This window comes from Homo sapiens, chromosome 19, assembly GCF_000001405.40.
Source record: "Homo sapiens chromosome 19, GRCh38.p14 Primary Assembly".
NCBI lineage: Eukaryota > Metazoa > Chordata > Mammalia > Primates > Hominidae > Homo > Homo sapiens.
In genome coordinates this window covers 31,540,300-31,552,741 of record NC_000019.10, presented here as the reverse complement: position 1 = coordinate 31,552,741, position 12,442 = coordinate 31,540,300, and the positions used below count along the sequence as shown (strand labels likewise).

Below are 12,442 nucleotides of genomic sequence, written 5' to 3'. Positions count from 1 at the left end.
CTCAGAAGGCTGAGGTGGGAGAATTGCTTGAGCCTAGGAGGTCAAGCCTGCAGTGAGCCATGATTGCACTACTGCACTCCAGCCTGGGCAACAGAGCAATACTCTATTTCAAAATAAATAAATAAAATTGCATTGAGAAAAAGGATGCTGGCTGCAGTGTGGAATATGTTGGGTATAGTGAAGGCTGGCAAGATGGAAGCTGTTGTATTAATCAAATGAGAGAAAGTAGTGGTGGTGGATCAGGGTCATGGCAGTGGGAACGGCAAGAATGGACAGATGGGGGAAATCAATATAATTCGGTGATTGATTAGACAGTGACTGTATTGGAGAGGAAGAAACCCAGGATGACCTCTTGTCATTCATCCCTGGAAAAGAACCGAAGTCCATTGATGACGGGGAGAGAGACGGCAGGTTCGCTTTGGAGATACTCATGAGATATCCAAGAGTAGATGCCCAGAAAGTTTAGGCTTAAAGTCATATTTGAAGCCCAAAAGGAGAGGCCAAGCTTGCCTACAGAGTACGTAGGGTAAAGAGAAAAAATACAATAAAACCCCAAGGAAATGACATATTGTATGGAGAGAGAGAGAGAGAGAGAGAGAAAGAGAGAGAGAGAGAGGAGATCATGAGAAGTCTCCGAAGGAGCCCAAAAAGGAATGGCCAGAAAGGCAGCAAAGAAAGAACCCAGGGAGGCTGTGGTGTCTCGTAAGTCAAATTTTCAAGAGGTAGTTATGCCCTCATGCTTGCGGAAAAATAAAACACGTTAGCTGAAAATTGAAAAGTGTTATCTGTCTGCAAGCATTTAAGCAATCTTGGTGAGAGATGGAGGGCTCCAAAGTCAAACAGTAGTATGTTAAAGAGGGAATAGAGCTATGAGAAGTGGGTCCAGCAAGAGATGATAACTCTTTAGAAACTTACTGGTTGTGAGGACAAAAAGGTCCTTAGGGCTGTAGGAGATATCTTTCTTCATAAATGTGGATGATGTTTAAGTATGCTTAATTGTTGGAAGGAATAAGCAAAGAGAGATAAAGAGTGGGAGATGATAAAATCTAGAAGAGATCTGGGCATAGTGGTTCACACTTGTAATCCCAGCACTTTGGGAGGCCCAGACGGGTGGATCATCTGAGGATGGGAGTTCAAGACCAGCCTGGGCAACATGGTGAAACTTCGTTTCTACTAAAAACACAAAAATCAACTGGGTGCGGTGGTGCATTCCTGTAATCCCAGCTACTTGGGAGGCTGAGGCAGGACAATGGCTTGAACCCAGGAGGTAGACTTAGCAGTGAGCTGAGATCGCGCCACTGCACTCCAGCCTGGGTAGTGTGTGTGTGTGTGTGTGTGTGTGTGTGTGTGTGTGTGTGTGTATGAAGGAATAAATCCACCCAGCCATGGTGCTCAGGGGGCAGGAATGGGAAGACTGGAGCAGAGGGAAATTGAGAGGCCCTATCTCCAACACTAGGGTATGGGCTTTCTGCTGTGAGAGGGGAGAGAAGGAGGAGGATGAGGGAGGGAGGTGGGGATAGGAGAACTACTTCCAACATGGGGACAGACTTCCCACCAAGAGGGGAGAGAAGGAGAAGGGTGAGGGAGGGAGGTGGCAGTAAGGGACTGGAAAACCATTAAGGAGTTTTGGAATAACCACTCAGAGGATTTACTGCCCTGGAGAGAAACCTTGCAGGAGTGCTCATCAGTGCAGAAGACTCATCAGCACCTAAAGAACTTGTGTTTGTGGTGCCTCCAGTTTGCAAGCTTTGCAAAGTTTGCGTGATGTTTCTCCAGTGGTCCTTGCCAACTCAGAGTGAAAATAGAGGTGGGGAATGAAGAGATTGCTTCAAGAATAAGAATTTGCCTGGGTGAGGCATAAACAAGCAAAGGAGGAGTGTCATAGAGGAGACTCAGTGGCATGAGAATGGTTGAAACAAAAGACCATGGAGATGAGATGGAGAAACAAAGGGAGAAAGCACTGCTCAGAAGGAAAATAGAATGCTCAGAAGATTCTATTCAGAATCTCAGAAGATGCTCAGAAGGCATCTGTATTAGTTCGTTTTCACACTGCTATAAAGAAATACCTAAGACTGAGTAATTTATAAAGGGAAGAGGTGATAGGGTTTGGCTGTGTTTCTACCCAAATCTCATCTTGAACTGTAGTTCCCATAATCCCCACGTGTCATGAGAGGGATCCAATGGGAGGTAATTGAATCATGGGGGCAGTTACCTCCATGCTGTTCTTGTGATAGTGGGTGAGTTCTCATGAGATCTGATGGTTTTATAACCATCTTCACTCTCTTCACTCTGCACTTCTCCTTGCTGCCACCATGTGAGGAAGGATATGTTTGCTTCCCCTTCTGCCATTATTGTAAGTTTCCTGAGGCCCCCCAAGCCCTGCAGAACTGTGAGTCAATTAAACCTCTTTCCTTTATAAATTTCCCAGTCTCAGGTATGTCCTTATAGCAGCGTGAGAACAGACTAATACAAGAGGCTTAATCGACTCACAGTTCCATATGGCTGAGGAGGCTTCAGGAAACTTACAATCAGGGCAGAAGGTGAAGGGGAAGCAAGGCACCTTCTTCACAAAGCAACAAGAGAGACAGCAAGCAAGTGAAGGGGGAAGAGCCCCCTATAAAACCATCCGATCTTGTGAGAGCTCCCTCACTATCATGAGAACAGCATGGGAGAAACCTCCCACATGATCCAATTACCTCCCTCCAGGTCCCTCCCTTGACATCTTGGGATGACAGGTCAAAATTTGGGTGGGAATACAAATGATATCAGCATCCAAGACCCAGAAGTCTCAGAAAAATAGAAGTAAATGTACAAAAATGAGGAAATCTTTAAGAGAGCTAGGATAAGACATTGGACCTGAGAATGAGATGGTTCTAGCATTTAAGATTTGAGAGAGTTGTAGTTTTGGGGAGAAGGTATGGTGCACCTAGGGGCGGAGATGGTCCAGCACCTGGCTGGCTGGCTAAAGTAGGGTGAGGTCACTGAGATGGGCAAGTGGATCAGTCATCTGTAACACAACAGTGATGGGCTACAGATCATCCTTGTTAAAGCTGAGTTCACCCTTCATAATGACAATATTTGGTGGTAGAGGAGGATGTTGACCCAGTTCTCATGATTCTTGGTGAATGGCAAAAGTGCCCAGGAGAGTGGTAAATGCTGGGGATCATAAGAAGTAGAGGGTAGCAGAGCCAGATGGTGCTAATCTAAAAGGTGCAGAGGCAGAAGTAGAAATAGTTCTCAAAAGTCTTGGGATACAAAGAAGACACAAACTCCTGATCCTGACATGCCACCCTCGAGGGCTGCAGGGAAAGTTTCTTCCTAAAGTGTATCACCAAGACCACAGCAGTCACTATAGCATGGACGTTGAAGATATAAGGTGTGTTTAAGGAGGTTTTTTAATCAAGAAACATGGCTTCCATACAGCCATTAAGAAGGGAGAGGAGTACAAAGGATGTGCTCAGAGAAAAGCAAGCTCTGTATAACGTAGGAATAGAAGATGACTACAGGTCAAAGACAGCAGGAATGGGAGGATAGTGAAGTCAGCTTGTGCTGGAGAGATACTACTGTGTAGAGGAAGAGCGCCCTTCCCCTCAAGGGCCAGCCAGCAGGTGGCAGGATTCATTGGTCCACTGGATTCTGCCAAGTGTTGGAAACACTTATTGAATCCATCCTTATTGTCTTCAGAGGCATCTAACCTGATATGCCCCACTCTTGTGGGGGCCCTCAGGACCAGCCAGGTGTCCATACCTATGGTGGGCCTGCGCTGGTCCCAGAATTTCAAAACTCCCACTACCGCTTCTTCTGTGAAGCTCCTACTTCATTACTGTCAATCTTAGTCTCTCCTGGAAAATTCTTTCCACCTCACATAATGAATAAATGATTCTTTTCTTAAATTAGGATTCAACGGAGTAATTGTAAAATTGGTATTTTGCTCAAAAACCCTTTCTTGGAGCTTACAAAAATGACATTAGACAGAAACTTTCTCAGCAGTGATTTTTATAAGATGCAGCATATTAAACTGTATTTAAATACATTGAACATACATAAATTATCACAAGCAAAAAAAAGACAATTATTATATTTCCAAAAGATTTCAGTGGCTTTCACATGAGCAAGACCTCATGGCTCTGTCTATTAAAATGGCTGATGTTTAGAAGACTATTTTGTGTACCTTAGGACAGGACATCTCAGCTCTCAGGAAAGAGACCAGCCTGCAGGGCATACATTCCACATCCTGGGTGTTGAGAATTGAAAAACAAACGAATAAAACATAGTTTTAAAATTATGACAGCTTTTCTAAAACCTATATAATTTTCAAGGGCATAGACCCTAATTTATTGAATTTTTTGCTCCTAAACTAGTATCTAGTGCATAATAGTCCTGCTAATGTACTCGATAAACTGAACCAAACTCAACTCTCAAGTAGCAAATTAGAATTTAGTGCAAGAAAGTCATTAGAGTAACTCTTGGGAAAAGGATGACTTAAGACTAATATGGATACATAGAATAACCCACCTGCTTATGGCTATGGTTAAGAATGCAAGGCTTTTTCGCCCTCCTCCATGTCCACCATGGGGACATCCTGGAGTACCTTGAGAGGGGCTTATCTTGAGATAGATAGCATTTCCCACACTCTCCCTCTGACCTCCTGTTCATGCACTGGGCTCATGCCATGCTGCTGCATGCAAAGTGCACTGATAATGGATGGAGATGGATGGATGGATGGATGGATGGATGGATGGATGGATGAGTAAATGGATGGATGAATGAGTGGATGGATGGGTGGATGGGTAGACGGATGGATGGATAGGTGGGTGGGTGGATGAATGGGTATATGGGTTGATGGATAAATTGGTGCATGAATGAATGGATGAATTGGTGGATGGATGAATGCATGGATGGATGCATGGATGGGTAGTAAATGAAAGGAAAGAAGAAATTCACCCTTGAAATACTCTCACCCCTAGGTTCAACATCAGTCTGTAATAGCCAACAGAACATGCTGATAGGTCCCTGAGAGGCGGTGCCCCAATGTGAAGCCACCACCAACTCCCTACTGGCCCCAGGTTAGGAAGACATGGGCTTGTCAGTACAATAGGTCCAGGCTGAGAAGGAAGAAGGAAGAAGTGCCTTCCCCTTCTGCATCCACAGTATGGATGCAGAGAACACAGATTTGTTTGGCAAATCTTAGAGTCTAGAACTGAAACCCACATGGTGAAGCCTTCCAGTGCTACCATCCTTCCTATGCTTCCTCCTTTCAGGAGGTGATAAGTATTGAGTTTAAGGCCCACCAATATGTCTTCTGCAAGGTTGAATGAGAAATAAAGTCTGAGAACCCATGACTCTGTTTGGTAGTCCTGGCTGTCCCTACAAAGGCGTTCAAACAAAGGCCCACACTCCTCAAATGACTCAGATATAGTGGACAATAAATCAAGTTGGAAAGGTTGAGGAGGATGAGATTCCAGAATCCATGTCTCTTCCTCCCACCCTGTGTGTACACCTCCCATTTTTCCTCCTGTTTTCCTCTCTCCCCTAAATCTCTCTCTCTTTTTTTTTTTTTTTGAGACAGGGTCTCACTCTGTTGCCCAGACTGGAGTGCAGTGGTGCAATCTTGACTCACTGCAACCTTTGACCCCAGGTTCAAATGATTCTCCCACCTCAGCCTCCCTGGGTAGCTGGCACTACAACAGGTGCATGCCACCATGCCCGGCTAATTTTTGTATTTTTTTTATAGAGATGGGGTTTCACTATGTTGGCCAGGCTGGTCTCGAATTCCTGACCTCAAGTGATCCACCCACCTCGGCCTCCAAATTGCTGGGATTACTGGCGTGAGCCACCATACCTGGCCTCCCCTAAATCTCTCACTCAAAAGGGAAAGTGCCTTGGTCTGACCCTGTTGGAATCTCTGATATCTCTCCCTTCCCCTGCCTTCCTTAACACCTCTTCCACCTCCTCCGTCAGCCAGAACTTGTGCAAATGACACTTGGAGTTCCACCTTCCCTGGCACGTTGGATGAGGAAATGACTGGAAACCTGACAGTCTATCACTACCGGGGAGTGACAATTTAAAAAAAAAAAGATTCAAGTTATGAGTGTAAGTTTAAAAATGTAACTAAAAGCCTTCATCAAAGTTTAAAGAGCTTCTTGCGCTTTTAGCATTTGCTTATTCTGATTTATTGACAATGACACACCTAGGAGCAGTCATCTCTGCTGAGGCAGTGAAGTAATGGACTGTAGGGGGAGAGAGAAAAAGAGAGAGAGGGGAGAAAAAGGGAAAAAAAAAGGGAAGGTGCAGCTCACAGAAGAGAGGCCGCTGATTACAGCCCACTAATTTGTTATGCACTCCGGCAAATCAGCGGTGATTCATATGACAAATAAGGAGAAAAAATTAACAGCTGTCATGTTGTGATGTGTTAATTTCCTGACAGTCTCTGCACTGAAGCCAATTACTGATTTAAGGGCAGGGAGAGAGAGCCCTGTTCAGGCTTCTAATTAGGCTTCTTCAGACTAAAAGGATAAAAGCAAAAATAAGAGCAAGAGAATGAGGCAGGTAGCTGGGCTCCAGGAAGCTCACATGCTTTTAAAGCTCCAGTTAAATAGCTTTAAGCTTAAGTGTGTTTAAGATAAGAATTTAGAAACATTTATTCACTTTTATCCCTGACCTGGTGGTTTAGGCTTTTGTGGACTAATTGGGGGCTGAGCAGGGCCCAGGGCTCTTGCTGCCCTGTTTCTGCATGAGTCCAGCCTCTCAGATGTAATCTACTAATAATACCTTTGTTTAGCCTTGTCAACAACCATTCATCACCGTGGTAGACAAAGGGCGGTGGGTGCTCCACCAGCTTCCTACTCAAGGATCCTGCAGAATGCTGGACCTCCATTGCACTAACTGGTCCCATGGCACTGGCCCCAAAAGAGGGCTGGGGGTGAGAGGAAGTTATTGGGGTCTGGGTGCTCAGACATCTAGGAAGCTTCCACATAGACCCAAGGGAAAGGAGAACTCATACTCTGTTGGTTTGACTTTGGTTTCTTCCAACTTACTGGCATGCCTGATCACCTTATTTGTCATCTCCACTGATCCAGCTATCCAGCGTATGAACGGATCTTTTCTAGGGACCCGAAAGATCTTTCATGGGAAGTGTTAAGGGGTGCTGGCTGCTGAGAGACTCATTCTTGGCCATTCTAGACACATTGGGGATTCAACAAAGTTATCCATAGCAGGAGCTCCTCTCTGTAGCCATCATCATCAATCAGAAAAATGGGACTTCAAGGGATCATGTGCCTCTGAGTATGACCAGCTAGACAGATAGTGGCTCTTCTTTTAATTTGTTTACCAAGAAAGGCAGTTCCCTTCCCATCTGTGCCCTCAATTCTTTCTTAGGGCTTTTTAAAAGGCTCTTTGTAAATTTATTGGTTAGTACTCAAACCAGTAGCCTCATGGATTGGTGCTGTGGTCACAGGAGCACAGGAGCCCTTCCTCAGTGGATTCCCAGGAAGGGCTTCTTCCTCAGATGTAAAGAAGCCTTATTTCCCAATGCTCATGGGTTTTTCCTTGTAGGTGGGTGAAATCCATTAGGATTCTTTGATTGCCTGTGACAACAGAGAGAGAGAGAAAGAGAGAGAGTGAGAGAGAGAGGAAAAGTAGGAGGAAAAGAAAGAGAAGAAGAGGAAGAAGAAGGAGGAGGAGGAAGAAGAGATGAAGGAGAAAGAGAAGAAGGAGGAGGGAGGAGGAAGAAGAAGAAGAAGAGATGAAGGAGAAAGAGAAGGAGGAGGAGGGAGGAAGAGGACAAGGAGGGAGATAAAACCAAGCCTAAGAAGCCTAAGTGGCCAGAGTGAAGAGGGAACTTCTTGACTCACAAACCAAATAATCCAAGAAGATCTTGCTTGGGGGTCAGAACTTCAGGTAGGAATCCTGAGGCTTGGAATCACTGCCTTAGCCTCTTATCTCAACTTCCTTGGTGTGGGTCACATTTTCAGATGGGCTTTTCACCAGCTAATGACCAACCAGAAACACACTCCACAGGTCCATGTCTGATTGGAAAGAGAGAACCAGGCCTTTCTCTGTTAGTCACCCCATTAGAAGTCCTGAGTTGACACTCTGGTTGACAGGATGAGATTCATTAGGGAATCAACTACTGACTAAGTTAGACCTTGATATCATTAGAATGTTTTGTCCCCTCTTCATCTCATGCTGAAATGTGATCCCCAGTGTTGGAGGTGGGGCCTGATGGGAGATATTTGGGTCATGGGCGTGGATCCCTCATCAATGGCTTGGTGCCCTCCCCATGGTAATGAGTGAGTCCTCACTCTATTAGTTCACGTGGGAGCTGGTTGTTTAAAAGAGCCTGGCATGTCTCTTGCTCCCTCTTGCCATGTGACATGCCTGCCCCCTCCACCTTCTGCCATGAGTAAAAGCTTCTAGAGGCCTCTCCATAAAAAATTCATGGTGCCATGCTTGTACAGCCTGCAGAACCATGAGCCGAATAAACCTCTTTTCTTTGTAAACTACCCAGCCTCAGATATTTTTTATAGTAATGCAAAACAGACTAATACAGACCTGAATCCTAGGTCCACCACAGAGCTAAGAGAAGAGCACACTCAGACAGGAGCATGAGGGAAAGAAGAATTTCCAAAGAAAATCCAGGAATGATCCATAAAGAAGAAGGAAACCATAAATGTGCCTCAGAGTGAATCAGTGGACACAAAAGAGAGCCTTGCAGAGAGCTTCTAGGTCAATTCTGGTGTTTTTGGACTCCCTTTGGCTTCCTAATATTTAAATATATTTAAGGTGATGTTAGCTAATTTTTCAGAAATTTGCAGGTCAGGGAGGAGGGAAGAGCAAGGGGTAGAGGCAGGAGCCCATTGATGGTCACATTTGCAGCCAGCTCCTATTTTTGTAACAGTGACTCTAGAATTCAGATGTAGAGCAGGGCTCATTTATTGCAGGGCTTTCTTTCAATAGAGATTTAGATTTATCACATGTCTGGGAGTCAAACAGGCCCCTAACCTGGAGGCATTTGCATGGCCCCTGGTGATGCAGCCCTGCTCGGGGACCTGTGCAGCCCCAGCTGAGGTCACGCCAACCCTCTGCCCCAGAGAATTGCTGCCTCTTGCTGCCCAAGTGTCTGGGTCCAGGGTAAGCACATCATTACTACAATTAAAGAATCACTCATGCGTTGACCGGTAAGGGGAAAATAGATCCCTAGAGCCCCAGCCTCCGCTGGATGGCTTCCTCCTTTTAGGCAGGTGGTCTGATTAAAAGGTTTCAATGGTTTATTTCATTAGGAGTCACTGTTGGTATTGCCTGAGACAACAAGAATCCTTCGACATTGATTTTGTTGGTGACTGCAACCCTAAACTGGAAGGGATGGCTAAAAGGTAATTCACTCTGTAAGCCTTGCTCAATCCTGACCCATTATCAATTGAGTTGAAATATGTCAGCACGGTGAGATATTGAGCATATTATCTTTTTTAGGAAGGTTCACTGAGTGAATAACATACATGCATTTACCTATATAAGTGCTGTCCAACAGACTTATGATCCATTGATTTATATAGCACCCTTCATCTGCATCAAGATGCTCTCCAAGAGAATGCCACAGCCCAGGAGAATTCTGTGCTGGCCTTGGGGAGAAGAAGCCACCTCCAGAGTGGGCAGTTTCCACTTTGTCAACCCCTCTGAGCTTAGAGAAATGCTTCCCCTGTCAGGGAGACCTTGCTGGCCAACTGGGGTTCCTTGTATGGGGTGGAGACGATGGACTGAGTTGAGTTGCGTCAGAGTGGTGGAAGAAGCAGCTGACCAGCTGTGGTCTGTGAAGGCAACAAGATAATTCTGACCTAAAGAAGAAGACAGGGTTGGTCGGGTGCAGTGGCTCACACCTGTAATTCCAGCAGTTTGGGAGGCCGAGGGAGGTGGATCACTTGAGGCCAGGAGTTGGAGACCAGCCTGACCAACATGGTGAAACCCCATCTCTACCAAAAATAAAAAAATTAGCTGGGCATGGTGGCGCATGCCTATAATCCCAGCTACTTGGGAAGCTGAGGCACGAGGATTGTTTGAACCCAGGAAGCGGAGGTTGCAGTGAGCTGAAATCATGCCACTGTACTCTGGCCTATGTGACAGAGTGAGACAAAAAAAAAAAAAGAAGAAGAAGAAGAAGAAGAAGACAGGGCAGACAGATACAGAATTGAAACAAAAGGCAGATGAGAATCCCAGGAGGAAGGCAAGGGTGCTTGACAAAAACACAGTGGGAATTCTGGTTTTGATGAAAGCAAGAGTGCCTTTGCAGGCTGAAAATCTAGGTCGGGGATGGGTAACAAAGATAAAGAGAACAACATGAGAAATTCCAGGATGTGTGATCTGGGGCCCTAAAAATCCAGAAAATGGGCTGAGCTCTCCATTCCACTACTTGCCGTGTTCCATACCTGTTCGGTTTCCAGAACTCTTCCAGTGTCTTTGAGAAGGACTTGGAGAGATGGTGTGTCTGTTTCCACGGCCCTGCCTCTTCTCTCCTTCTGTCTCTAGCTCTCACTCTCTCCACAGGTTCCCTTGTCTGCCTTAATCTTTCTTCCCTTCTCCTCCCTTTCTCACTGTTTCAGCTCCCTTTTACCATAACCAATTCTATTTCGATCTCTGATGGGTTTTAATTCCTACTCAAGGGTTGTAGGATATTTGTGGGAGTGAAAGAGGTCCCCAGAGGAAACAAAACCCAAACAGACTGCATGAGCAGTATGATCTGATGGGCCAGGTAGAAGTCCAGTTTAGAGTCTGCTCACTCTGAAGGCTGACCAAGTCCCTCCCGCCCTTCTGCCTCCTCTTTTCCATGCACGACCATCCTTGCACTGATGTCCATTGGCCAATGAAGAAGATGCTTCCATCATGGTGGTCTTGGTGGCAATCGTGGGACCTTGACATAGTCCATGCATGAAAACCTTATTCTTCTTGGCTTCTTATTTTCCATCCAAAAAAAGGTATTTTTTCTTTTATCTTCCTCCTCCATAGGTACCTGTAGATATTTTTCAGTGCTGTGATTTACCTCCAGAATAAGGTGGCTGTTGCATTTAAAAGGCATCATTTTCTGATGTGCATGTGGACTTATCAGCTCCTCTCTCCCTGTGTGGCCGAGTGTTATCAGTGCATGCTGGGAAGCACTTGTGTAAGAGAAGCAAGCCTCAGCTGAGAGGTGCTGTGTTACTACAAAGCTTTCAGGTGATGGAGTGGCTGATGCAGAGAGACACATCAAGATAGGGGGAATCCTGAGAACGTTCTCTGTAAGATTAAGCAGCAAGAACAGTTCAAACCAGAGGCCCACTGTCTAAATGTGTAGGGAGAGGAGAAATAGTAAGGTATGTGGTCCTTAGAAATAAAGGAGTCAGAGTTCTCTCATTGACATGGAAGTACCCGGAAAGGGTTCTGCATTTTACAGATGTGAAAACTGAGCTTTCATGACTTTCTGCCAGGTACCAAGCCTGTCTGGGCTCTTGGCTGGAGAACCTGCCAGGCTTGCAGGTGATCTGAAGGAACTGTACACCCAAAAAAGGATCAATATCTAGAATCAACAAGGAGTTCAAACAAATCAGCAAGAGAAAAACAAATAATTCCATTATGAAGTGAGTGAACGACATGAGTAGACATTTCTCAAAAGATGATATACAAATGGCAACAAAGATGAAAACATGTTCAACATTGCTAGTCATCAGGGAAATGCAAGTTAGAACCATAATGAGATAACACTTTACCCTAGTCAGAATGGCCATGTTTTAAAAGGAAAAAAAAAAAAAAAGATGTGTGGGTGGATGTGGTGAAAAGGAATCGCTCAGACACTGCTGATGGGAATGTAAACTAGTACAGCTTCTATGGGAAAACAGTATGGAGATTTCTCAAAGAACTAAAAGTAGAGTTACCATTTGATCCAGCCATCCCATACTGGGCGTCTACCGAAAGGAAAAGCAATCATTTTATAAATAAGACACCTGCAGGTGTATGTTGATTGCAGCGCAATTCACGATGGCAAAGATGTGGACCCAACCTAACTGCTCCTCAGTGGACGAGTGGGTAAGGAAAACGCGGTGCATCTGCACCATGAATTACTACTCAGGTATCAACTCCTCTTTCAAAGAAGTGCCATGACGGGAGGGAGGGTAGCACTGAAAGAGCAGGAGGATCTGACAGGGGTGCACAGGCTCATTACTCTCCAAGTCCCCATGGGCTCAGAGAAAAATAGGTCAAATCCCAGCACTGTAAGAAACTCCACTCTCCCAAGTTCCACTGGAACCCATTTCAAATTCTGAGTCTGGAAAATCTAAGCTACCAGAAAGAGCTTATGCAGGAAAGGAGGGCAGGAGACAGAGCATTTGGTGAGGTTGCAATTGATTTAGGCTGTGTACACAACAAAAGCATCTGATTCCAAGCTCTCATGAGGGAGTTTCTGACCTGGATCACAGGA

At 45.2% G+C, this 12,442-nt stretch overlaps 1 long non-coding RNA gene across 1 annotated transcript in view; it reads right to left on the bottom strand.

Moving 5' to 3' along the window:
- The window catches only part of LINC02841 (long intergenic non-protein coding RNA 2841), a 34,617-nt gene that overhangs the window by 2,062 nt on the left and 20,113 nt on the right, over positions 1-12,442 (bottom strand). Inside the window, exon 2 of the long non-coding RNA NR_184026.1 lies at positions 4,172-4,234. This is a non-coding gene — a long non-coding RNA (long intergenic non-protein coding RNA 2841). The remainder of the gene's footprint in view (positions 1-4,171; positions 4,235-12,442) is intronic.